The sequence below is a fragment of the Homo sapiens genome, chromosome 17 (assembly GCF_000001405.40).
Source record: "Homo sapiens chromosome 17, GRCh38.p14 Primary Assembly".
Taxonomy (NCBI): domain Eukaryota; kingdom Metazoa; phylum Chordata; class Mammalia; order Primates; family Hominidae; genus Homo; species Homo sapiens.
Window position 1 is genome coordinate 19,732,990 of NC_000017.11, and position 25,336 is coordinate 19,758,325.

General features: G+C 54.2%; 1 protein-coding gene and 1 pseudogene across 6 annotated transcripts, besides 7 other annotated features; one reads left to right on the forward strand and one right to left on the reverse strand.

Annotated features, from left to right (window-relative positions):
• On the reverse strand, nt 4,995–15,309 carry ALDH3A1 (aldehyde dehydrogenase 3 family member A1). Of its 6 annotated transcripts, none has more exons than NM_001135167.1 (11): nt 12,454–12,623; nt 11,979–12,145; nt 10,243–10,474; nt 9,556–9,641; nt 9,015–9,223; nt 8,104–8,221; nt 7,347–7,488; nt 6,519–6,685; nt 6,007–6,106; nt 5,334–5,464; nt 4,995–5,246 (listed from the first exon to the last, which is right to left on the reverse strand). In NM_001135167.1, exons 2-11 carry the CDS (start codon nt 12,138–12,140, stop codon nt 5,232–5,234), a joined length of 1,362 nt encoding a protein of 453 aa, NP_001128639.1. In that variant the 5' UTR covers nt 12,141–12,145; nt 12,454–12,623; the 3' UTR covers nt 4,995–5,231. The 6 variants fall into 6 exon arrangements, with proteins under 6 accessions (NP_001128639.1, NP_001128640.1, XP_011522033.1 ...); NM_000691.5 differs by lacking the exon at nt 12,454–12,623 and adding an exon at nt 15,270–15,309 and having other exon boundaries at nt 5,000–5,246; NM_001135168.1 differs by having other exon boundaries at nt 11,979–12,470.
• Nucleotides 11,899–11,958: a silencer, noted in NCBI's record as "silent region_8298". NCBI's record gives its function as "represses an Ori minimal core promoter by ATAC-STARR-seq in GM12878 lymphoblastoid cells {active_cell/tissue: GM12878}" and the evidence as "EXISTENCE:reporter gene assay evidence [ECO:0000049][PMID:35858748]".
• Nucleotides 12,018–12,985: an enhancer, noted in NCBI's record as "H3K4me1 hESC enhancer chr17:19648320-19649287 (GRCh37/hg19 assembly coordinates)". NCBI's record gives its function as "activates a minimal SCP1, AML or CMV promoter by ChIP-STARR-seq in primed H9 embryonic stem cells {active_cell/tissue: H9 hESC(primed)}" and the evidence as "EXISTENCE:reporter gene assay evidence [ECO:0000049][PMID:30033119]".
• Nucleotides 17,266–17,545: an enhancer, noted in NCBI's record as "active region_11861". NCBI's record gives its function as "activates an Ori minimal core promoter by ATAC-STARR-seq in GM12878 lymphoblastoid cells {active_cell/tissue: GM12878}" and the evidence as "EXISTENCE:reporter gene assay evidence [ECO:0000049][PMID:35858748]".
• Nucleotides 19,742–20,941: an enhancer, noted in NCBI's record as "MED14-independent group 3 enhancer chr17:19656044-19657243 (GRCh37/hg19 assembly coordinates)". NCBI's record gives its function as "activates an origin of replication core promoter dependent on BRD2, BRD4, P300/CBP and CDK7 cofactors, and independent of MED14, by STARR-seq in HCT116 cells {active_cell/tissue: HCT116}" and the evidence as "EXISTENCE:reporter gene assay evidence [ECO:0000049][PMID:35650434]".
• Nucleotides 19,794–20,324: an enhancer, noted in NCBI's record as "H3K27ac-H3K4me1 hESC enhancer chr17:19656096-19656626 (GRCh37/hg19 assembly coordinates)". NCBI's record gives its function as "activates a minimal SCP1, AML or CMV promoter by ChIP-STARR-seq in naive H9 embryonic stem cells {active_cell/tissue: H9 hESC(naive)}" and the evidence as "EXISTENCE:reporter gene assay evidence [ECO:0000049][PMID:30033119]".
• Nucleotides 21,902–22,041: a silencer, noted in NCBI's record as "silent region_8299". NCBI's record gives its function as "represses an Ori minimal core promoter by ATAC-STARR-seq in GM12878 lymphoblastoid cells {active_cell/tissue: GM12878}" and the evidence as "EXISTENCE:reporter gene assay evidence [ECO:0000049][PMID:35858748]".
• Nucleotides 22,392–23,417, forward strand: LOC441784 (TBC1 domain family member 25 pseudogene; annotated as a pseudogene).
• Nucleotides 22,842–23,081: an enhancer, noted in NCBI's record as "active region_11862". NCBI's record gives its function as "activates an Ori minimal core promoter by ATAC-STARR-seq in GM12878 lymphoblastoid cells {active_cell/tissue: GM12878}" and the evidence as "EXISTENCE:reporter gene assay evidence [ECO:0000049][PMID:35858748]".
• Nucleotides 23,418–25,336: the final 1,919 nt, after the last annotated feature.

A 25,336-nucleotide genomic window follows, 5' to 3' on the forward strand; every position in this document is an offset into this window, starting at 1 on the left:
GCTCTGTGATGTCAGAGAAGACCAGATGCCCCAGAGCTGTGGCACCTGTGGCTGGCACCCGGAGACCTTGGCTAGTGACACTGCTTCTTAAACCTCAGGTTCCTAATCTATAAATAGAGTCAGTGTGGTGGCTTACGCCTGCAATCCCAGTACTTTGGGAGGCTCAAGCAGGAGGATCAGTTGAGGCCAGGAGTTCAAGACCAGCCTGGGCAACACAGTGAAACCCTGTCTCTACAAAAAATTAAAAATTAAGCATGGTGGTGCACACCTGTAGTCCCAGCTACTGGGGAGGTTGAGGGGGGAGAATCGCTTAAGCCCAGGAGTTCGAGGCTACAGTGAGCCGTGTTTGTGCCGCTGCACTCCAGCAACAGAGAGAGATCCTGTCTGTAAAATAAAAAATAAAAATAAATAAATTTCAACAAATGAGCTCACACCCTCACTGCACAGGGCCATTGTGCAGTGGGTGTAGTGGGTGCATTGTGCATTGGGTGAAGGTGAAGGTGAGAAGCCAGCATGTGCCAGCCAAGGCTCCTCTTCCTCCCACCTTCGGCTGGGGGCAACTGTCATTTATCAGAGCATTACCTGTGGGGCCCTTACCTGGGATGCATGAGGACAACAGGACACACTGTCTTTGATTAGGATGTTGTCTTTGTGGTTAATATGGTTTAAAACCTCTGGGCTGTTTTATCCCACAGCGGGATCCTATGAAGCTTGTTGTCATCTAAAATCAGGTAATTTCAGGCTGGGCACAGTGGCTCATGCCTATAAACCCAGCATTTTAGGAGGCCGAGGTGAATGGATCATTTGAGGTCAGGAGTTCGAGACCAGCCTGGCCAACATGGTGAAACCCTGCCTCTACTAAAAATATAAAAATTAGCCTGACATGGTGGTGGGCACTTGTAGACCCAGCTACTCGTGAGGCTGAGGTAGGAGAATTGCTGGAACTCAGGAGGTGGAGGTTGCAGTGAGCCAAGATCACACCACTGCACTCCAGCCTGGGTGACAGAGCAAGCGAGACTCTGTCTCAAAATAAATAAATAAATGATAAAATCAGGTAATTTCAGATGAGATGATGGTGCGGGGTTGGGGGGCGTTTAGAGCAACAAAACGCCAATGATGTCTTTGAAACTCACTCATTTTTTCATTTACTCAACAAATATTTACATAGCACCTTCTATGTATAGGCCACTGTTCTAGCCTCTAGAGATCTAGAGGGAATGCAATGGACAAAGGTCAGCGCTTGCCTTCGAGTGGGGACAGACAGGCAATAAACAGATACACAGACAAGACAAAGACTAAGGCAGGCGAGTGAGAGTGAATAGGGAAAAGAGGTGAGATTTGAGCCGGAGGAGGCTTGATGAGAAGGATCCAGGAGAAGAAGGAACAGTCCTGAGGAAGGGAAAGGCTTGCAGGAGGCCATGGGTGTTGACCAGGAAATTCGTGGCAGAGGTCAGAGAGTAAGGCAGGGCCCAGAGCACATAGCGCTTTGCAAGGCAATTTACGGATCCTCAAGTGCAACAGGAAGCCATCATAACATTTTATTTATTTACTTATTTGTTTTTAGAGCTGGAGTCTCACTCTGTGACCCATGCTGCAGTGCAGTGGCATGATCATAGCTCACTGCAGCCTTGACCTCCTGGGCTTAAGTGATCCTCTTGCCTCAGCCTCCTAAGTTGGGACTACAGGTGTGCACCAGCATGCCTGGCTAATTTTCTCATATTTTGTAGAGATGGGGTTTCACCATGTTGCCTGGGCTGATCTTGAACTCCTGGCTTCAAATGATCCTACCACCTTGGCTTCCTAAGGTGCTAGGATTGCAGGTGTCAGCCACTGTGCCTGACCTGCTAATTAGCTCTATCCAGAAAACAAACCTCTTATATCTTTATGACAGGAGGTAATTTTGCAACTTGGACAGATATGCCCACTGGAAATTAGGCTTCTTCCCTCTCACAGGAACTAGAAGATGGGGGTGCATTTCAAAGAGATGACACCCCAGCCCTTGAGAAAGATGTCCGGCTCGTAAAGCTGACAAGAGTCTTATTTATTACAGCTTCTGAAAAGACTTACACACATTTCAAAGAGACAGAACTTACAATGACATGTTTTCCAAAGCAGGTGCTCTAAGACAAGGGAAGGGAGAGAAATCTCTTTTTCAACAGAGATAATTAAGTCTCTTTTTTCTATTTTTTGAGACAGAGTCTTGTTCTGTTGCCCAGGCTGGAGTGCAGTGGTGTCAAAACAGCTCACTGCAGCCTCAAACTCCTGGGCTTAAGTGATCCTCCCACCTCAGCCTCCAAAGTAGCTGGGACCACAGGCATGTACCACCATGACCAGCTAATTTTCTTACATTTATAAAATATAAGATGGCATCTCGCTCTGTTGCCCAGGCTGGTCTTGAACTCCTAGATTCAAGTGATCCTCCTGCCTTGGCCTCCCAAAGCACTGAGATTAGAGGCATGCGCCACTGTGCCCGGCATGCCTCTTATTTTTGCATTTTAACTTTGCCCTAATGGAGATTTTTGTATTGGGAATATCATCTGGGTGCACAGTGAAGAATGAACCACAGGGAAGCAAGAGTGGAGGAAAGAAGGCCACTTAGAAAGCATTTGCTGGTGCTCAGGCCAGGGACGTGAGGGTGAAAATGCAGAGTTGGACACGTTTTTGTGATAGTTGAAGGTGCTCCCCTGGGGGCTTGCGGAAGTCTTGAACTTGAAGGAAAGCTGGGAGTAAAGGCTGACTCCTAGGTTTTGGCCTCAGCCACTCTGCAGGGTGACATTCACTGGGAAAGAATGGCTTAGGCCAGGCCCGGTGGCTCACACCTGTAATCCCAACATTTTGAGAGGCCGAGGCGGGCAGATTACGAGGTCAGGAGTTTGAGTCCAGCCCGGCCAATATGGTGAAACCCTGTCTCTACTAAAAATATAAAAATTAGCTGGGCATGGTGGCACGCTCCTGTAGTCCCAGCTACTCGGGAGGCTGAGGCAGAAGAATCGCTTGAATCCGGGAGGCAGACGTTGCAGTGAGCCAAGATCATGCCACTGCACTCCAGCCTGGGCAACAGAGAGAGACTCTGCCTCAAAAACAAAAAACAAAAAACGAGTGGCTTAGAGGGGAAAATCAAGAGTTCTCCTTTGGGCACGTAAGTGTTAATTTCCTATTGAGACTCCAGTTCACAGTTCAAGTCAGTTGTCGGGTATATGAGTCAGGAGCTCAAGGTCAGGAGGGCTGGAGACTAACTTGGGAACACAAGCTGGTGAGGGAGGAGAACTGGAGCACGTGGGGTCCAGGAACCCGGAGAACAGAGTGTTCGAGGGAGGTTGGGGTCAGACGGAAGGAGGTGGCAGGGCAGTGGAGATGCCCAAGGTGGCTGCGAGACCCTGGGGATCTGCCCGCACGAGACTGTGCCTGCCTGGTCAAGAGCCAGGGCTTCCCTGTAGGACAGAGGTGAGGGAGGGTCACCTGGGCAAGCGGAAGTTAGTGGGGACAGGAAGCGCTGTTTGAGAACAACCATTCAGATGAGTCTTGCCGGGAAGGAGCGTAGAGACATGAGGCAGTTGCCGCAGGGGGAGCCAGTTAGGAGAAAATATTATTTTGTTTTGTTCTTGGTTTTGGTTTTCAAAATTTTTTTAGAAACAGGGTCTCACTGTGGCTCCCAGGCTGGAGTGCAGTGGCACCATCACAGCTCACTACAGCCTCGAACTCCTGTGCTCAAGTGATCCTCCTGCCTCAGCCTCTCTAGTAGCTGAGACTACAGGCACACACCATCGCACCCAGCTAATTTTTTATTTTTAGTAGAGACAGGGTCTCTATTGCCTAGGCTGGTATTGAACTCCTGGGCTTAAGGGATCCTCCCACCTTGACCTCCCAAAGTACTGGGATTATAGGCATGAGCCACCACTCCCAGCCAAGATTTAGTTTGGCTCAATTCTCTGGGTATACAATAAGTCACAGGTGCACGCGGGAAACATCCAAACAAAACAAAACATAAGAAAACAGTTTCCTCTCTGCTCCTGCTCCCACCCCCTCACTGGAGGGAAGGAAGCACAGGTAACACTTAACGGTTTTTCTGGTTGCATTTGGGGTCTGGGGGACTTGGAATAAGGTTCAAGACACTAGAGAATAGGAATGGTCCAGGACAGAAGGGGAAACTGAAGATGCAGGAGAGAGAGTAAGGTCAGGAGTGGGAAGGGGGTGGTGGTGGCGGGGCACGGGCCAGGTGGAGGGTGGGCTTTTGCTGGGAGCAGGCACAGGTGGGGCCAGGCACACCTGTTGGTGGTGGCACAAAACTCTATGTTTTCACAAGGAAATCTCAGCAAAAGCCGGGAGGGCTTTCCTGCATGATACCAGGAGAGTCTGTGTAGAGGACCCTGAGGGACAGGCCCAGCCTCAGCAGGTCTCCCCCAGCAGCCTCCCCTTACCTGCCAGGCCCAGGCTGGGAGGCTTCCTGGCTCTGAGTCTAACCAGCCCCCAGAACACCCAGCTTCAGACTCCCCTTGCCAGACCCTGTCCTGGCTCCTCAGGCCTCTGGGGCGGGACTCTGGGCCAGCTGCAGCCCAACGCCATGCAGTTGAGGCACCGTGGGTGCTGGTGCTGCCTGGCCTCGGGTCCTTTGCCCCCACGAGCAGCACTATGACATCACCAGGGCGTTTTGTGTTGACTACTGCATCGTCTCACAAAGTGGCCCCTGCCCGAGATAGTGAAGCTAGTCTGGGAAGAGACGGCATCAGCTCCCCATATCTGAGCCACTGTGCCGACAAGGCCCAGCCTCCTCAGGCTCTCCTTGGCTGGACACACCAGAGATGGAGCTGACCTCCCCAAGTCTAAAAGGAAGACAAGTGTCACCCTGACACCGTGCATGGCCTCCTGGCACAAGGCCCCACCAGCTGATGAGAGGCCTTTGCTGGTACATCAGTGACCACACTGCGTGGGGCAGTGGGATCAGGCAGGACAGGTCGGTGGGTGCAGGGCTACAAAAGAAGTGCCATATGCCTGCATTTGCTGAGTTAGAAAATTGTATTCGTCTCTTTATTGGTCTAGAAAGGGGTGGAGACTTGGAATGGTGAGGCCTGGGCCCATGTGGGAGTGGGGTGTGCACAGGTCAGCAGGTCAGCAGAGGAGTGGGGCTGGGCTGGGGCTGCAGGAGCGATTCTCCCAGGGCCAGGAGAGCCAGTGAGGGTGGTCCGCACTCCGATGGGACACAGTATGGCCAGGCCAGGCGGAGCAACCCCTCCTCAGTGCTGGGTCATCTGTGAAAGGGACACGGAGTGGGCAGTGATCCCCAGGCCCTGGTCCCGCACAGCCCGGTCTCCCCCACAGCGCCTTCCCCCTCTCACCTTGGCCGGGCTCGGGGGGTATCTGACCTTCAGGCCTTCATCATTCATCAGAGGCCTCACCAGGCAAGAGCGGCGGTGAGAGAAAGTCTCGAAGCTCTTCTTGCCATGGTAGGATCCCATGCCGCTGTTCCCTGCGGAGGAGAAGTAAGCACAGGGCTCAGCATCCTGCCCCCAGGACGCCCCAGGTTTCCCTCTCCACCTTGTTGGGTGTATCCCAGAACCACAGGGACAGGGAGGCAGAGCCCCAGCCACCATCACCCATCCTTCCCTCAAATCCTATGGCCCTCAGCACCCAGCCCCAGGTTGTGGCCCTTTTCTGGGCCTCCTGAGGGTGGCCAATGTCTAGGGTGTCCCCAGGGCATCCACACTGTGGGAGTGCCCAGCAAGGGTCTAATCCCAGCTCTGCCACTAAATGGCTGTGTGACCTCTGGCCTGGGTCACCTTTCTCAGGCCTCCATGAAATAGGCCGGTGCACCAGGTGACCTCTAGGAACCTCTAGGCTCCCAGGTTAAGTGTGTCTGATGGATGGCACGCAGAGGCCAAGGTCCAAATGGAAGAGGCTAATGGGAGGCTGCCGCCCGGGCTGCAGGAGGTGGTCCCTCCTGAATTTGCTGGGTGAGTGTGCCCAGCCCTGGGGCCCAGAGGGAGGCAGCAAGCTCAGCCCCAGACTCACCCACGCCCCCGAAGGGCAGAGAGTGCAAGGTGATGTGGACGATGACATCGTTGGCCGCCACCCCACCACTGGATGTCTCTGCAATCATCTTCTTAATCACCTGCACCAGGACCCAGCCACTGGCCTCAGTCTCCTGCCCACAGGATGCCCCAGCCCCCAACCCGACCCTGCCTGGGTATAGCCTGGAGCCACAAGGACAGGAGCAGGTGGAGGCAGAGCCTTAGCCTCCATCTCCTGCTCTTCCTGCAGACCGCGTGGCTGTCAGCACCACATGAGCAAAGAGTGACAGCAGCCGCCCCCATGCCTGTGTGCAGGGCCCTGGGCAAGGATCGCTCATTCAGTGCCCTCAGGTGATGCTGCTGTCCTGATCTTACAGACGAGGTGAAAGGAGCTCAGAAAGATCCAGTGACTTGCCCAAGGTCACACAGCCAGAGAACAGTGAAGCTGCAGTTTGAACCCAGGTCTGTGGGCCCCAGGACCCTGGCAGAGGGCACCCCAGGCCCACCACCCACCTTGTCGTTGCTGGAGAACATGTAGAGGGCCAGGGGCTTCTCACGCTGGTTGATGAACTGGATGGCCTCCTCCAGGCTGCGCACGCACACGATGGGCAGCACAGGCCCGAAGATCTCCTCTTGCATCACCGGGGACTGGGGGTCCACGTCCGTGAGGATGGTGGGGGCTGAGGCAGGAAACAAGCCAGAGTTGGACGGCGCAGAGACCCCCACGCGGATGGAAAGTGCAAGCACCTAGACCCCTGCTCCAACCCTTTTCCAGGCAAACCTGCCCAGGCTTGGAAAAGGGCAGGGACGAGGCCTCAGAGAGGTACCCTAGGCACCTGCGTCCTGGATGCCATCTGAGCAGACCACTGGGGACAACTATAGGTTAACCTGTACGGAAGGACCCGAGATCTGTCTCCAGGAGCAGGCACTGCACCTGCCGGCCACCTGATGCCCTGCCAGAATTCTCTTGTCTCCTTGACAAACTCGGGGCCAAGAGGGTCCCATCTGGTGACCCACAGCCTGGGCACTGGGGGCCCCTCACGGCTGGGCACACCTGGGGCTCCTGTGGCTTCTGCTGTCCCTGCTCCTGCTGCTTCAGAGGGGCAGGGAGATGAGGCCCCTCTTTCTGGGCCTTTGCTGGGAGAGGGGATTCTGAGGTTGAAGCAGGGGCTGTCCTCAGCCCCTGCCTGCTGGAGTCTACCGCAGGCTCCCTGGTGAAAGCAATTTATACCCATCCCGAGGTCGTGTCCGCTTATCAAGCATCTGTGCCCACTTGCTGTGAACTTGCTGGGGACCCCTGCAGCCTGGGCAGGTGGGCTGTGCTCTTCAGGGGTCACGCACCTATGTAGCGAGTGGCGGCATCCCCGGTGCCCCCATAAGCCACCTTCTGGCCCTCAATCAGGCCCATCACCCTCTGGAAGTGCCGGGCACTAATGATTCTTCCATAGTCCCGGGATTTCTTAGCATCTTCCCCGTAGAACTCCTGTGGAGAAGAGGTGGGGGCTTCGGGTAAGGACGCAGAGCCTCGTCCTGCCCAAAGGCTGCACAGACACAGGCCAGCAGTGTCTGTCTTTGGGTGGTGGGATTCTGGGTGGAGCTTTTTTCTTCTTTATGCTTTTTAATCTTTTCTAAATAATCTATAGTGAGTGTGCATTATCTTTTTTTTTTCTCTTAGAGACAGGGTCTTGTTCTGTTGCCCAGGCTGGAGTGCAGTGGTGCAATCATAGCTCACTGCAGCCTCAAACTCCTGGGCCCAAGCAATGCTCCAGCCTCGCCGTAGCCTTCTAAGTAGCTGAGACAACAGGCATGCACCACCATGCCACCATGCTTGGCTAATTTAAAAACATATTTTGTAAAGATGGGATCTTGCTATGTTACCCAGGCTGGTCTCAAACTTCTGGCCTCAAGTGATCCTCCACTCTCTACCTCCCAAAGTGCTGGGATTACCGGTGTGAGCCACCATGCCTAGCTTGCATTATGTTTATATTAGAAGAAAATAAATCCAGTGTTTCCAAATCTGTAGAAGTTGGTTAAGGGGCCAGGCCCCCCTTGTGCCTTACAGCCTCTCATCCCACCCTGCCAAGGGGTCAACACTCACTTTCAGTGACTTCTTGAGCTTCTCCACAATTTGGTTCTGGATCGAGGGGTCACAGAGGATGTAGTCAGGGGCCACGCAGGTCTGGCCACTGTTCATGAATTTCCCCCAGGCGATGCGTCTGTGAGAATCCCAGACTGGACTAAATCCAAAAGGTTCCCCAGGAGTTGCATCTCGTTTTGCAGACCCCTGAGCTCTCTGGTCAGCAGAAGCCATCGGCTGTGACCTTGCCACCAGTGAGTCCTCCCAAGCGGTCTGCTCACTTCTAGACACTGGACCGAGCAGACCCAATGGCCCTGATCATGTTCACCGGCGACTGGTGGGGAATTTCTAGAGGACGTCTGTTGAGGGCAACCTCCGTGCTCCCTGATCACGCCCTTGTCCTGCACAGCCAGGTGTCACTGCTACTCGGGCCCCCCTACATCTCTGGGGCCACAGATGTGGGATATGGAGGTGGTCAGAGCCCTGGCTAGGGTCAGGAGGTGCAGATACGGGTTCTGCCCCAGACCCCGAGCAGCGGTGGCCCTTCTCCCCTCTGGGCCTGCTCTCCAGAACTCAGATTGCCCTGCCCCATCAGAGGGCTGAACCCAGTACAGTTCCTTGTGTCCTGAACGTCCCACAGCTGCTTTTTCTGCAGCCTCTGCTTGGAGTACCACTTCCCCAGTGATGCGCACTCAGCAAACAGAGCTCAGCCTAGACCTCTCCCCCTCCAGGAAGCCTTCTGGGACTCCCCACACGTCTTCTGTGCATGTGGTCCCCACCCCTACCCCCATGTAAGTTTCTGCAAGGACCACTGCTCCATGAGGCAGGGGGTGTCTGTGTTACTCAGAGTGGACCCACAGCATGAGGTGCAGTCATGTGTGCTTGGAAAGCAGAGTAAGGACTGCTGCAGCCAGCAGGCCCGTGCCTCTCACCGGCAGGCCACGTCCAGGTCACAGTTCTTGTCCACGTAGCAGGGACTCTTCCCTCCCAGCTCCAGCGTGACAGGGGTCAGGTGCTTGGCAGCAGCCGTCATGATGATCTTCCCCACCCCCGTGCTGCCCGTGTACAGGATATGGTCGAACCTCTCCTTGAGCAGCTCCGTGGTCTCAGGGACACCCCCATTGATTACTGGGTACAGATCCTTCCATGCAAGGAGAGAGGGGAGGCTCAGCAAAGACCAAGCCCCTCCTCGCTCTTGCAAGTGTGGGTGAGTTGCAGTGGCCAAGACCAGCAGCCCCGAAGCTCAGCACCCCACCTTGGGCGGGGGGTAGCAGTAACTGGCAGTAGACCGCCTTTCCTGGCCCAGGGGCTCTGTTCACCCCAATGAGAGAGGGCAGCTGCTAAGAACAATCCTCAGCCCCACCAGTAGCTTGGCCCCTTGCTGCAAGAATTCACTATTTCTCACCCCCCAAAGACCTGGCCCTAGCTCAGTTATGAGGCCATGGAGTTACGAGGCCCTGGAGGGCAACTCACCTTGTCCAGGTACTGGGGGATGATGGTAGCCAGCAGGCTCGCCATGTTCTCACTCAGCTCCGAGGGCTTGAGGACCACTGAGTTCCCTGCAGAGCACACCGAGCCAGGCCTATGCCCAGGGTACTTCACCAGAGGCTCTGCCCTCCCAAGGACCACACCTGAAGCCTCCCCTCCATTGTGTGTCCTCGGGACAGTGGATGGAAGAGTTGTTAGCAAACAAGCACATGTCACGGGGCACACCCAGGAGCACGCACGGGCACATGACAGAGGGACACACACGGGCACACGCTGGCCAGAGCTGCACCACCTGGCCCTCTGAGTTGCTGAGATGTTGGAGGAAAAGCAGAAAGGGGAGAGAGGCTCTGGGGGCCCGGTTGGTAGAACAGCGCTGGCCCATTCTAGGAAGGAAGCCCTGATGCATATTAGGTGACAGAAGCTCCAGCCCCCCAACAGGGGTGGGGGAAGGCAGGCCCTCTCTGTATCACCAGGTGTGGACACCTGAGCCTGACTGGACCTCAGGCACCAAGAGGCCTGGCTAAACAGCTTGGTCCCCACAGCCTCCTGTGACAGACCCAGCAAACCCTTATCTGACCCCAGGACTCTTAACACAGGCCTGAGCCCATCCTGGCTTGGCTCCACGCTGGGGGACGGTGCTCCCCCAGCTTCCCTTCCCACAGGGCCATGCACCTGCAGCGATGGCGCCCACCATGGGCTGGATGGTGAGGTTGAAGGGGTAGTTCCAGGTGCCAATGACGAGGACCACGCCCAGTGGCTCCGAGTGGATGTAGAGCTCGTCCTGCTGAGTCTGGGGCGTCTTCTCCACGGGCTCATCCGCGGCCCACTCAGGGAGCTTCTGGATCATGTACTCGATCTCCTCTAGGACGTACACCACCTCCTCATAGTAGGCGTTCCATTCATTCTGCAGCGACAGAGCCGGAGTGAGCTTCCAGGGCCAGGGCCCGCCTGCAGCTGGGGCGAGTGGGGAGCCCCACTGCTCAGCTGCCAGGGTGATGGGGGTCACTCACCCAGCCCAGGGTGGGGGCAGCCGCAGAAGGCTCCCAGGGGAAGCAGAGCCAGGATTAGCCGTTGGACCTGTGGGTCTGAGAGGACCCCTTTCTGCCAGAGGGGGGCCCAGGTAGGTTTGCGGCCCCAGGGGAGAGAGCCGGTGAAGGGACCAGGCATGGGCAACGGAATGGATCCAGGTAGGGGGAATAGAGCCGGGCAGGGGAGAGTAGATTCAGGCAGTGGGAATGGATCCGGGGAGGGGGGGATGGATCCGGGGAGGGGGGATAGATTCGGGCACTGGGAGCTGGATCCGGGCAGGGTGGAGGGAGCCAGGCCCTTTAGTTGTCTGGAGGGGGATGCAGGACCAAGGGCTGCTGGGCGCTCAGGGCCTCCTGTGGGGAGCAGGGGTGAGAAGAGGAGATGCAGACGGCGGAAAACGCGTCTCTTTTATAAACTTGGGCTGTGAAGAGCAACACAGAAGCTGTAAAGTCAACAGAATGGGTTTCCTTGTTGTTTCTGGTTTAAGATGAGAAGTCCTGAGCCATTTCTTGAAAAGTGCAGTAGCAGGCCCGGCGCTGTGGCTCATGCCTGTAATCCCAGCACTCTGAGAGGCCGAGAACTCCTCCTGAGGAACTCCTGAGGGCAGGAGTTCAAGACCAGCCTGTCCAACATGGCGAAACCCTGTCTCTACTAAAAATACAAAATTAGCCGGGCATGGTGGTACACGCCTGTTGTCCCAGCTACTGGGGAGGCTGAGGCAGGAGAATTGCCTGAACCCGGGAGGCGGAGGTTGCAGTGAGCCGAGATCGCGCCATTACACTCCAGCCTGGGCGACAGAGCGAGACTCTGTCTCAAATAAATAAATAAAATAAAATAAAAATAAAAGTGCAGGAGCAAAGAGGGTAGTCGGTGGGAGGATGGGCTCCGGAGCGCTGGACCCCAGGCAGCATGTGGGGACAGCAGGGGGCTGCGAATGCAGAGGTGTCTGGTCTTGCTCAGGGTGAGGGACGGAACAGCCCCTGTGAGAACTGGGAGGGAGGGGAGAGCCCCCCATGCCCTCCGGGGTGCCAAGCTGCTCTGGTTCCTGGTGTGGAGAACCAAGTGGTCCTGCGTGGGGCTGAGGAATGGGGAGGACCAGAAGTTCAGGGTGTCGGGGCAGCAGGAAGTTGAAATGGGGGACGCTGCGGGCGGGACGCGGAGGCCGGGCCAGGAGGAAAAGGCCAGAGGGCGGAAGAGGCGGCGGGGGCGCGCGGGGCGCGGCGGAGGGGAGGGCGGTGCGCCCAGTCTCCGCGACCGAGGGGCCAGGTGGCCCCAAGTCCTTCCTGAACCTCTCTGGGTCGCACTCTCCCCAGCCCCTCCCCCCACGCCCCATCGCATGGCCCCGACACTGGCAGAAGGCGGCCGCCCAGCCTGAGCACCTTGTGCAGGTCTGCGGCCAGCGCGCCCACCAGCTCCTGCTCCTGCTCCTGGATCAGGCGCTGCAGCGCCTCCAGCTGCTGGATCCGGAACTGCAGCGGACGGGTCCTGCCCGAGCTGAAGGCGGCGCGGGCGCGCTTCACGGCCTCGCTGATCTTGCTCATGGCGCCTGGGGACAGAGAGCACCTGCAGCTGGCTGAGGGGCACGAGCGCGCCCTGCCTCCCACCCTGCCTGAATTCTATAGGAAGGGACTTCCCTGGGCTCGGCCTTGGGGAAAATGGCCTTTCCGCTGGAAGGTCCACTTTCTGCCTCGCCTCCTCTCCCGCCCCTCACTCAGACGCCTGGGCCCTGGCTGCCTTGCTAGCCCCTGAGAAGGTGACACCCGCCGCAACCCGAGTCCTAAGCCGAACTGCTGCTGGGGGCTCTTGGCAGCGTGCTCGCGGCAGGGCCTTTCCCGGCCTTTTCCGCTCCCTTACTTGCTTGCAAAGCTGATGGCACAATCCCAGACCAACACCCCCAGAGCTCTGCACACGCAGTCAGCCACTCTCCAGATCAGATTGGAGGGGCGCAGTCCGCGATTCCACACCCAAGCCGATAAAGAAAAACCCAGCACCACCCTCCTGGCTAAGCCATTGTTCTAAAAAGCGCTGGTTTCTTGGCAGAGCTGAACCAGGCTTGGTGTGTAAACCACGCGTGCCACACCTGGGAGACGCACGCCCATGCCCGCCAAGGATTCAGAGAGCTGCAGATTTCCACAAAGAGGTGTGGAGGCGATTCCTGCTACCAATACACGAAAGTATAGTGGCAAATCGGGATGGCCCTGCTGGGGGCAATTTGGCAATATGTGGCAAAAGTTTTTCAAACATACTTCTCTGTGACGAAAAGGTCCTACAGCCTTTCCTAAACATTCACGAATAAGAAAGTCATCACTGTTTTCTATAACAGGGAAGTATTGTAAACATCCCAAAGATCCGAAAGAAAGGAGACAGTTTAAATGACTCCTGTCACACCCACGTAAGGGTTTACTGTGCAGTATTTAGGGATTAGGTGGAGCAGGCTATTCAGCATGTTTGTAGGGGCTCTCTCTGCACCAGGGGTGTCTCAGGCACTGGGGATAAGAAAGAAAACAGGTTACAGGCCGGGCGCGGTGGCTCACGCCTATAATCCTAGCAAACACTTTGGGAGGCTGAGGTGGGCGGGTCACCTGAGGTCAGAAGTTCAAAACCAGCCTGGCCAACATGGTGAAACCCTGTCTCTACTAAAAATACAAAAATTATCTGGGAGTGGTGGCAGGCACCTGTAGTCCCAGCTACTTGGGAGGCTGAGGCAGGAGAATTGCTTGAACCAAGCTGAGAGGAGGAGGTTGCAGTGGGCCGAGATTGGGCCATTGCACTCCAGCACTTTGACCGGGAGAATGGAGCCATAATCACAGAGTTCTCCTATTAGATTAGTGGTAGGAGGTAAGGCAAGGTTAGTGAGATTTGCTAGAAGTCAAGAGGCTGTCAGTGGAAGCGGTATTTGAAGGCCTCGGGTAAGTAATATAATTACTTTCAGCGAGACTCCATCTAAAAAAAGAAAAAGAAAGAAAGAAAGAAAGAAAAACAGAAAACAAGTTACAGAACAACAGATGTACCAGGCGTGTGCATGTGTGTGTGTGCGTGTGTGTGTGTGCGTGTGCGTGTGTGTGCATGTGTGTGTGTGCGTGTGTGTGCATGTGCGTGTGTGTGTGCGTGCGTGTGTGTGCATGTGCGTGTGTGTGCGCGCGTGTGCGTGTGTGTGTGGGCGTGCACGCTCTAACATGCAAGAAAGGACTAGAACGGTAGCCCCCGACACGATGAGACAACTGATGGGGGTGGAATTATTGATGATCTGTTTTCCTCTTATGCAATGTTTGACTTTTTGCAATGAGCTTGTATTTTTTAAATTTTGGTGCGTTTTAAGATAGGCACTACATGCTCATGAAACAAAATGTAAAATATAGCAAAGGGGCACAGAAAAAAGTCTGCCTCCCTCCTCCCTGCTCCATCAGCTGTCAGGTGCTGCCCCACAGAGGGGCCACTGTTACCAGTTCCTTACTCCCCTTCCTGAGATACTCAGCCCACTTGCAGACCCGGCATAACTTTTAACATCAGCAGAAATAGGGTATTTCCATTTTTTTAAAAAACCCTATATATCATATGTAATATATAATTATATTGTATATAGATATATGGTCCTGCCTACATTCCAGCGAGTGGCTTCCAATCCTTCCTCTGCCTCCCCTCCCCATAGGCTGACCCCTAATCCCAGGCTTTCTGCACAGGGAGGAGGGACCTGCTGGCATTGAGGGTGCTCTAAGCCTGGCCCTTCCATGGTCCCTCCCTATGTTCTGATAGGAGGCTGGGAAAGCCCCCTCACTGGGACCTCCTCAGTCCCATGGGCCAGGCCCCTCCTGCTGACCACAACCCAGGAGAGAAGGTCCCGCTTCTCTCCCGAGCCTTGTACGGTCAAACCAAGGCAGGCAGCCCAGGTGGGAAGAGCCTGGTGAGCGTGGGACGGGATTGGCCTTGCACCCCAGCATCGCCACTTGGAACTGTGGTCTCTGGGCTGGACGGCCTTCCCAGGACTTCCCCGAGAGACAGGTTAACAAAGGTGCCACTTCACAGAGATGAGTGGACACCATCACGTCGCAGCTGCACCCAAATGGGAGCTGCTGCAGCATGCACTGGGGGCCTCCCCAGAGCCCGTCGCCTCACACCCCACATTCCTGCACCCCGCTCCTCTCACCTGTGCCAGTGTTGACTTTGCCCCCCAGTGACACCTCCTCCCCTCCTCATTGCCTTCCATCCTCACAAAAGCTCTGTAGTGATGCCCATGAAGAAGAAACGGTTATGAGTGCATTTTACAGATGAGGAAAGGGAGACTGAGAAACGTTTAATGCTGTATCTGATCTCACAGTTAGCAGGTGGCATGTCAGGGTTTGAACCCACATGCATCTCTGTCAGCAGCTCATGCCTTTAGCACTCGGCTCTGCTGCCTTCCTTCCAGTCATGGAGTCTGACGGCCCATCAGGGCCTCTCACTCCACGGCCACCTTGGTGTCCCTGCTCCGCGGATCCCTGGGACCTCTGCCTCCTGGTTTGGGGGATGGCAGAGCTGCCAGAGGTCCAGGAGGATGCTCCAGAGATGATGGTCCCAGAGGCAGGGACCCCCTGGAGAGATGATGTAGGACTCTTGACACTTAGGGCCCCGGCTCTGAGTGCAGACTCCACCTAGACAAGAGAAAAAATAAGGAATGCAGGGAAGAGGATTACCTTTGACACAGCCTCTCCCGGTAACTGGGGCTCCTGGAACGGCAAGAGCCAAGAGGGGACGTATTTAAGGACCCTGCTTCCCGTCCATTGAGCCCTTGGAGTTCCTGCCCAGGAAGTTTGCGTGACAAGAAAAAAAAATATTCAAATGTGGGGTGTGGCGTCCTCTGGACCTCTGCTCCCTACAGCCCAGGTTTTGGGGATTAGGTCCCGGGCTGTTTGCTTTTGTTCACTTCTGAAATGCGAGAATGTTTCTGAAGGCTTGGGCAGGGCACATCTCCAATCTTCAAAAGAGCCTATGTTTGCCCTGGGCGTGGGGGCTGCTGATTGATTCAGCCTGGCATGGAGCTCTTCCAGCTTTCCAGACTTGCCGCTGCCAGATGCGGTTCTCTGAGTTCTCTGGTTACATAAGATCGGCAGGGCTCAGCCACGAACCACAGTGAGAGCATGCAGCTCCCCCGAAACGCACCCCCAGCCACCGCTGCCCCGGGCCCTTCACATCCCCCAGTGTGCACAGGGCCCCATTGAGTCAGAGATCCTAACCCTGGGGAGCCACAGGCTGGGGACTTTTGATGGGGGTCTCCAATCCATAAATCTGCTCTCTCGTTGAATAGCTGAGAAGAGGGCCAAGGGTCTGTGTGGTCACCGAAAACCAGAGATGCTTGGGAAGGAAGGAGTCTGGAAAAGCCGTTCCCACGCTGTCTGATCAATGTTCGCTGGGCTCCTGCTCTGCACCACGCTGTGGGGAGGAGGCAGGTGTGGAACAGACTCTCGGCCCCTCTCACCAGGCGCTTCCCGCCACCCTCACCCGCCTGCAGGCAGACTGCTTACCAGCATGGGGTCCCTGCTTCCCATTTCATTCGAGGAAAACACAAGGTTCCGGTCCTGGCCTACGAGTCCTGAGGATGTGCTCTGGCCCTCCTGCTTCTCTCCACCTGGAGCCCCCTTCCCCTACATCCACCCACACGGCTACGCTCCAATGTGCTGTGGAAAATAGCACAATGCTGTCGTCTTCCTCCATTATTTTTTCTCTGGAGCGTTTATATCTTGTTTGCTACCTGTCCCTTAACTCCTGACAGCTAGAATTTGATTTGTTCACTGCTGTAACCTCCATACAGCATTTATAGTAGATGCTCAATAAATATTTATTGACTGACAAAATAAACAGGAAATTTCAAAATAATGTGAACACTGTAGTAACCAGGTAGGCAGAGGATGCTAGAGGGGCTGGGGTGAGAGTCCGTGGGAGGGAACATCATCTGAGCTGAGTGAGAAGCATTTGGGCAAGGAACAGCAAGGGGGCTGGAAGAGCAGAAGCAAAGGCACAGAGGCTGGGAACGTTATGTCACGAAAAAGTGCGATGTGTCCACTGTTGCCAGCAGGAGGTGTGGAGGTGAATGACTCTCCTGGGGCGGGGGCTCACGGAGGCCTGTGGGCCAGGCTGGCTGTGGGGGTGCAGGGCGCTGAGGAGATTATCAGACAGACAAATGTCTGCTATTTTTTGTTTTAGAGAACCCCCTGGACAGGGCACAGTGTGAGAAAGGTCTAGCCCAAAGGCTGCAGCTTCCAGCAATGCAGGCAAGAAATGACGAGACCCCCAAATAAGACTAACAGAATGGGAAACATTCCAGAAACAGCAGAAAGAAGCATCTGCAGGACCTCGCACCTGTGCAGGGGCTGGACTGGGTGGTAGGTGCAAAGTGGGGTGCCTCCTGAGAGGGGAGAAGACCGAGCCTGTGCCAGCCTCTCCCCTTTTCTGGTGGCAGCAGCTGATTATCTTTGCAGGCAACCCCTTCCTACTTGGTGAGATGATCAACCAGGTGCCTTCTCCAGGCCAGCCATGGGTTGGGGTGGGCTCCCCATGAGGCCTCCCTGACTCTCCTGGGAATTTGGATCTTGAGTAGAGGGCAGAATGCAAGGCCGAAGGCCATTCGGAGCTGACTTCTTGTGGCAGCGGCCCTCCCCTGGGAGAACCATGGAAGCAACTAGCAAAAGCCAGCAACACAGCATTGAGTACACGAAGTGACCAGAACAGTGCCTGGCGGGCCGAGGGCATCCTGGAAAGGTTAGGTGGTGTGGGTGTCATCAAAAGTGGCAGCAGTAGTGGTGGAAGCGTCAGAGCAAGGAGCCTAAAAGCAGTTCAAATCTACGAAGAACAAAATCCTTGTTTGCGTGTTTGGGTTTTGGTTATAGTTTCAGTAGTGGCAAAAGTGTGGGAGTGTGGGTTGTGCTAGAAACTTGCAGATACTTGCTTTTCAGATTTTCTTTTTTCTTTTTTTTTTTTTTTTTTTGAGACAGGGTGTTGCTCTGTTGCCCAGGCTGGAGTGCAGTGGTGCCATCACGGCTCACTGCAGCTTTGAATTCCGGTGCTCAAGCGATCCTCCCACCTTGTGACTACAGGAACCCACCACCATGCCTGGCTAATTTTTAAATGTTTTGTAGAGATGGGTCTCATTATGTTGCCCAGGCTGGTCTCAAACTCCTGGGCTCAATTCATCTTCCCGCCTCAGCCTCCCAAAGTGCTGGGATTGCAAGCATGAGTTAATCTTTGCAAGTCCTAATACTCCATCCCCAATGCCTCATCCTCACCTGGGCTGTCACTCACTCTCTCTCTCCCAGGCCACTGTTCTTGCCCTCTACCTACTCTCCTTGAGTCAGGCTCAGCTGCCTTCTCCAAGTGGCTGCCAGAGAGACATGCGGACGATAAGGACCTGAGCATGTCTCTCCCCTGATTCACATCCTTGGGTGGCACCCCCTTGCTGTCAGGAAGCTTCCTCCCATGGCCTGTGAGCCCCTGCCTGGCCTGGCTCCTGGCTGCCTTGCCAGCCTCACTTCGCACCACTTCCCACCATTCTCACTGCACTCCAGTCTGCTGGCATTCCTTGACTTAACCAGGCAATTTCCTACCACAAGGCCTTTGCACATGCTGTTCTTGCTCCCTGGGACACTTTTTCTTCCACTCTGCACCAGACTAACTCTTATCCATGTTCAGATCTCAGCTTCCCTGACCTCTCTCACCTCTCAAATAAAACCTTCCTTACTTCCAGGAACCTGTCACAACCTGCGTTCATATCTTTGTTTGTGTGACTATGTCTCTCCTTATTCCCCCTTGGACTGGAATGTCCACAAAGGCAGAGATCTCAACTTTTGTTCAGCACCATATCCTGGCACAAGGGAGACCTCTGAAGATACGGAAGCAGCCCACTACACCTAACCATCCCTCTGATGGAAAAGCAATCATTTAGCAAGACGATTTTCAGCAAATTCACCCAAAGCTAGCAAAAAAAGTGTTGAATGAATGAATGAATGAATGAATAGCGAGTTTGCTTAAATTTCAAGGAACATTTAGATTAGATATAGTTGTTGGGAGGGGAAACCACTTTCTTTATACGAGTAGAAGGAGCCTGGGCAACATAGAGAGACTCATCTCTACAAAAAATAAAAAAAAGGAAGGAGGCTGGGTGCGGTGGCTCACGCCTGTAATCCCAGCACTTTGGGAGGTTGAGGCGGGCAGATCACTTGAGCTCAGGAGTTCAAGACCAGCCTGGCCAACATGGTAAAACCCCATCTCTACTAAAATACAAAAATTAGCTGGCCGTGGTGGTGCATGCCTGTAATCCCAGCTACTCGGGAGGCTGAGGCAGGAGAATCGCTTGAACCTGGGAGGTGGAGGTTGCAGTGAGCCAAGATTGCGCCACTGCACTCCAACTTGGATGAGGGCAGAGCGAGACTCCATCTCAAAAAAAAAAAAAAAAAAAAATTAGCTGGGCGTGGTGGCATGCACCCAGCTACTTGAGAGGCTGAGCGGGAGGATCACTTGAGCCCAGGAGGTCGAGGCTTCAGTGAGCTGTAATCATGCCAGTGCACTCCAGCCTGGGGGACAGAGTGACCAGGTAGACCCTGTCTCAAAAAAAAAAGAGAGAGTAGAAAGGAGAAAATTAGGCAGTGGGTCTCAGGGACCTCCCCGTTGGTTAAAAGTGTTATGACTCAGGAAGACAAATGCCACATGTTCTCCCTCATGTGTGGGAGCCAAACAAGTGGATCTCATGAAGATAGAGAATAGATCGGTGGTTACCAGGGCTGGGAAGGGTGGGGAGGTGGGGGAATAAAGAGAGCTTGCTTAGTGCGTACAAACACATATTTAGGTAGAAATAATACGACTTAGTGTTCAGCCAGGCACGGTGACTCACACCTGTAATCCCAGCACTTTGGGAGGAAGAGGCGGGCAGATCACCTGAGGTCAGGAGTTTGAGACCAGCCTGGGTGACCAAGCAAGACCCTATCTCTACAAAAAATGTAAAAATCTGCTGGGCGTGGTGGCACGCACCTGCAGTCCCAGCTACTCGGGGAAGCTGAGGTGGGAGGATCGCTTGAGCCCAGGAGTTGAAGGCCACAGAGAGCTGTAATCCAGTCACCGTGCCCAGCCAAGAGCAGTCAGTCTGTTACAAAGCCCTCTGTTACTGTTACAAAGCCCCTCTTTGGAGAGGCATGAAGTCAGCAGAACTGGCTGTGCCCGGGGCAATTTCCCCACTGTGTCCACACCTTCTGGGGACTTGTAGGAAAGGACTTCTGGGGCTTCTTCATCTCTTTATCTGCTGCCAGTCATAGTGCCTTGGGTCAGAGAAGCTGCAGGTTTGCAGCCAGCGGAGGTGAGTGCGAGCAAGGGGGAGCCTCCCCTAAGATGCTGCAGAGGCCCCAGTCCTCACCCCATCTCCCTTGGACTTTCCTGCTCCCAGGAAGCTGTGGCTCCCAGGCCCAGGCCCTGGCTCCCAGGAAGCCTCTGCCGAGTCAGGACAAAGGGCATCTTAGCGGGGCAGAAGGCATGAGTGCTGGCTGGAGGGGAAGTGGGTACTAGGGCCATCCTGGCTAAGTCAGCCTGCCAGGCAGGATGGCAGCAAAGTGCAAGTCATGGTGAGTTAGGCACGGGCAGCCTCACAGCAGGAATGCCCGGCCCTCCTAGCCCAGGCGGAACCTGCCTGAGTCACCGCCTGGCTGCAGCCCCAGCTGCAGAGCCTCTGCAGACCAGCCCACACCCCGGCCATCCTGGAAGGGACACAGCGGGCATGCCAGGAGGACATGCCAGGGCACGCTTGGGTTGGTACTGCCAGTCTCTTGGGGTCTGGGAAGCCCCGTCCTGGATCTTAACGGACACGGAATGCACCCTCATCACACATGAAATATAATGTTTACTCGAAAAATGCAAAGAAAATTTAAGTTTTGTTTCTTCACAATAATCACACAAATGTAATTTTACAAACATAATACACATTGTTTAGCTCAGACTTTTTCTTTTGTACGTACTTGGTTTGCCCCTTTCTCAATATGAGTGTCTCATCTGTAATCCACAATATTTTCCCTAAGTTTTTCTCAGTGCTTATTTGACATACACAAAAATGTACATGACACACTGGAAGCTGTCAGCATTTTAAAAGCAGAGCCTCATCATGCACCCTCTTCTGCATCTTCTGACCCCACTCCCTCCGGGGCGGCCGGGAGCTGGAGTCCATTCCTCCTCATGGCCGTGTGAAAGCAGTGGTAAGCATGTAGAATGTGCAAGCAACCACAATGTTCCCCGTGGATGGGAGACCACTTTGCCTTCCACTTTGGATCAATGCTCCATGGGCCGCTTTGCATGTCTTGGCGTGTGTATTTCTGCGTGTTAGATCCCAGGGATGCTGGCTTTGTCAGTCTTCACAGGTGTTGCCGGTGACTATCCACCAAGGTGGCCCTAAGGGGCTGTTGTAGTTCCAGCTGGCCTGGCAGTGTGTGGCACTCTGCCGTTTCCCTGCCGCCTAGTGGCTGGTGCATTCCTCACTGTGCAATGGCCATTGGCATTTGCCCATTTCTTGGAAGGGTTTGTGTTTTCCTTGTCAGTGTCTAGGAGCTCTTTGTATATTACAGCCATCTGCATCACTAGTATTTTCCTGAATCTATCATTTATCCACGGACTTTATTTATGGTATATTTTGTTATATAAAAGTTTTTATAAAGCTAAATAGAACTCTCCTGTTTTAGTTTAGATTAGGAGGGTACTCCTTGCCCCAGGATTAATTCCTAATTTTCTGCTAAGATTTTTATTGTTTTATTATTCACTTTGAATCCATCAAGAGTTGATTTTACAAATGCAAATGGAAATGCACATTGATTTTCTTTTTCTTTTTCTTTCTTTCTTCCTTTTTTTTTTTTTTTGAGACAGAGTCTCACTCTGTCACCCAGGCTGGAGTGCAGTGGCACGATCTCGGCTCACTGCAACCTCTGCCTCCCGGATTCAAGCAATTCTGTGCCTCAGCCTCCTGAGTAGCTGGGACTACAAGCACCTGCCACCACGCCCGGCCAATTTTTGTATTTTTAGTTGAGATGGGGTTTCACCATCTTGGCCAGGCCAATCTTGAACTCCTGACCTTGTGATCCATCTGCCTCGGCCTCCCAAAGCGTTGGGATTACAGGCGTGAGCCACCGCGCCCAGCCCACACGTTGTATTTTTTTTTTGCAGATGCACAACCTGTGTGCCAGCATCGTTTAATAACAACTCCACCCCTTCCTGACCCTTTGCTATGTGCCAGGTCTGAGCACTTCCATGTATGAACTCCTTTAGTCCTCACAAGCACCCAAGAGGCAGAAACTATCATTATTTCCATGAGAGATGAGGAACTGAAGAACACAGAGGCTAAGTGATTTGCATAAGGTCACACAGCTAGTGAGTGATCGAGCCAGGTTTCACCCGAGAATCTGACCTGGCATCCCCTTGAGGAGACTCATATCCTGGGGAGTCCTTCCCCCCAGGTTTGCAAACATATTGCCAGAGTGTGGAATACGGTTTTCTCCAAATTCTATTCTCATTCCTAGTCTTGAACGTGTCTGCTATCCCCATTCCCCTTCCCAGGGAAACTGCAAATCACGATGTGCCCAGGTCTGTCTCATCAGTGCTTGCAGAGACCAGTCCATGCGTGGGGTCGCTCATCCACTCTAAAAGAAGTATGAATGGGATGCGTGTTGGTTTCCCAGCTCATTGATTTCCGTTTCTATCAATTCCTAGTTTCTTTTGGTGCTTAAACTATATAGGTCCTTTATTTTTGTTTTCCTATTATAACACAGGAGTGAAAGTGTTTGCTTTTCCTCTGAATTTGCTGCTGGAGCTCAAGCGAGAGTTCGCCTTCAAAGATGCCCTCTACATGTGTGAGGTCACCTGAAGTTCGCTGTCCCCTGATCCTCCTGAACATGAGGGAGAACTGGTTGGATCCCCCAGCTAAGTGGCAGACACTGGTTTTGGTGGCCACAGGGGGCAGCCCGTGTGACAGGCACATGCTAAGGCCTGCCAGTGGAGGAGGTAGTACCTTTGAAGATGCCATTGACCACCTGGCCACAGCCAGCCAGGGGCCTGGTAGCAGGGGGTGTCACCTGAGACAAGCCGTCCTGGATGGCCTCCAGCAACTCAGGGATAACATGGGCTTCGGGAGGGACCCTCTGGTCCAGCTGCCCCACCCAACCACCCTTATTAGCTCCAAGTCCCTCTCCAAGCCTTTGCCAAACTCCCCAGACCCACTGCTCTCCTCCTTTTCCCATCCTGGTTCCCCATCTTCCTTATCTCCACCATCCACCCAGGAGGCGTCTGCCACTGCTGACATGCTGTCGGCTCCCCCTTGGTGCGAGAGGTAGGCTCCCAGAAAGACCCTGGAAAGTCCCTGCCACCCACACCACCAATGGGGCTGCCCCCACCCCAGGAGTCTGGTTGGGGGAACCCATTTATGCTGTTCCTCTACCTGGCCCTCCTGCTGGAGCACCGCAACCACACCATGTGCAATGCGCTGGATGACAACGAGCTGGCCATGTGCTTTGACCGCCTCATGTGAAAACGCCACCTGGGGCGTGTCCTGTGCTGGGCCAGGGCTCTCTTTGCTGATTACCTGCAGTGTGGGACTTGGAGGAGGGGGCTGAGGCCACAGCTACATCTTGATCAGGCTTTCTCCAGCCCACCATCAGCCCCACCAGATCTCCATTCTTTGCCATGAGGGCCAACACGTGAGAACCCACCTCCCTGCCTGCCAGCCCTAGACCTGCTGGAGCATAGAGCCCTTCCTCCCCAGGTCTAAGTAAGTATGCAGGGGCCTGCTCTGCCACTGCCCCAGAGGAGCCACGGCCTCTTTACTCTGTTTCTGCTGTTTTAACAACTATACTTTACACACATGAAAAAAAAAGAATCTCCACCTATTAAATCAAATGTATTGGTTATTCTTTTATATCATTCCTTTTTATTGACTGGCCTGAGAGCTGTGTATTGACATCGCCCACTGTAACTGTATTTGGATCAAGCTCTCCTTACAATTCTAGTAATTTTGGCTTTGTGTATTTAACCATCATTTTGCTTAGTCCATATGGGTCTATGACTTTTTTCCTTTATAAGATTTGCTTTTCATCATCACATGTTCTAAGCTGAAAGTCCGCCTGTCTGTGGCTCACACTGCTGGCACGCCACGTCTGTGTCTTATCTGTCCACACACGGACCGCCCCCAGCCCTTCTCGACCTTGCTGTTCCGCATGCATCCCGTCAATCCTGCAGAGCTAGGGCTTGTTTTCAGACAATATCCTGACAGCCTCTCTTTGTGTAATGGCTGAAATACTTGGGGTTATCCTCTCAATTTCCCCCTGTATGGAGCGGTTTACTTCCTCCGGTTATTTCCTCTTGCCTCCAGTGCTGTTCCTTCCACTTCCCCTGGCTTGTCTGTGAGTTCTTCCTACCTTTCCGCTGTGTCGATGGGTCCTCCCGTCTCTGCTCCGTAATCACAGGCGCATTTCTCTACCCACTGTTTCCCACTCTGGGCTGCCCTCCTTTGCCAGGACACGAGCTTCAGACTCACCTCCGCTCCACTGCCACCCCAGGCCTTGGCTGTAGCATTTGGGATGGGCACCCCTCCCCCTCCCCACCTCTGTGCCCCAAGGTTTTTGCCCCCCACTTAAAACTAAAAGTACAGAGCCCTCCTGTACTTTTAGTTTTACACTATTATTTGGCCCAAGTGAGGTATGAATACAAAATGACTTTTTTCCCAATTACTGCCTCCCACTGTCCCTTGTCCAACCTTTATTATCCATCCCTAGGACACCCCAACAGCTCCCATCCCTTCCTGGCTGGTGTCCCATATCAAAACGCCAGGTCCAGGAGAATTTATTAAGCTGACCCTAGTGAATGCGCTTCTGCCCAGCCTGGATTGGGCCTGTGGCCCTGAGGAAGGGGACAAGGAAGGCCTCATTACCCCGCCCACCCTGGGTCTCCCTTTCCCTCTGGAATATCGGCTGGTAGGAGAAAAATGGGCAAGAGCGAAGGACTTCTGACTTAACTGGTGCTCCTGGGAGGTGCTGCTCTTCACAGCCCCTGCAGTGCTTACCCACCACTGGGTTCCTGGAGAGGGAGGGAGATTCCTGCTGCCCCCCATACTCTCCGCCAAGTACCTTCCATGGGGCCCCTCACCTCACCAGCAGGTCCCTGGCCATGGCATCGGCAAGGTGGCCCACCCAGCAAGCCTCCTGGGGTGCAGCTGGCCCAGAGGGAGCGAACGCATTGTCCCCATGCAAGACGCCTGTGCAGGCACCGCACTCAGCCCCTCTCTGCCCAGCCATCTCTGTCTCATTCTTTTTTCTTGCTCAACCAGCTCAAATGACACAGACGGTGGCTCAGCTAGTCCTTTGTATGAGAAGACATCCCAACGGGCAATGAAACGCCACCCCTTTCCTTGCAGGTACCCCCATCTCCATCAGGGAGTCCCTTGGAGCCCCATGGTTGGCGCAGAGTGGTGGGGAGCCCATCTGTGTGTGAGGGAGGCTCCAGGGAAGGAAGGAAAAAGGTCCTGTTTCTCTCCTGTTAGGTTCATGATTCCTTCAACTCTCACCAGCTCTCCAATGTCTAGTTTTCTGTTTACATGGCAGAGATGCTGGAAGATATGGAAGGGCCGGCTCTGCTCCCTCATCCTTGGGAGAGGTCTCCACAGGGCAAAGGCCCAGAGCACACGAAGGATGTACAGAGCCCAAGATGATGGCATTTCAGGCCTTGGGACCCCTGGTGATGGGTGGAGAGTGGG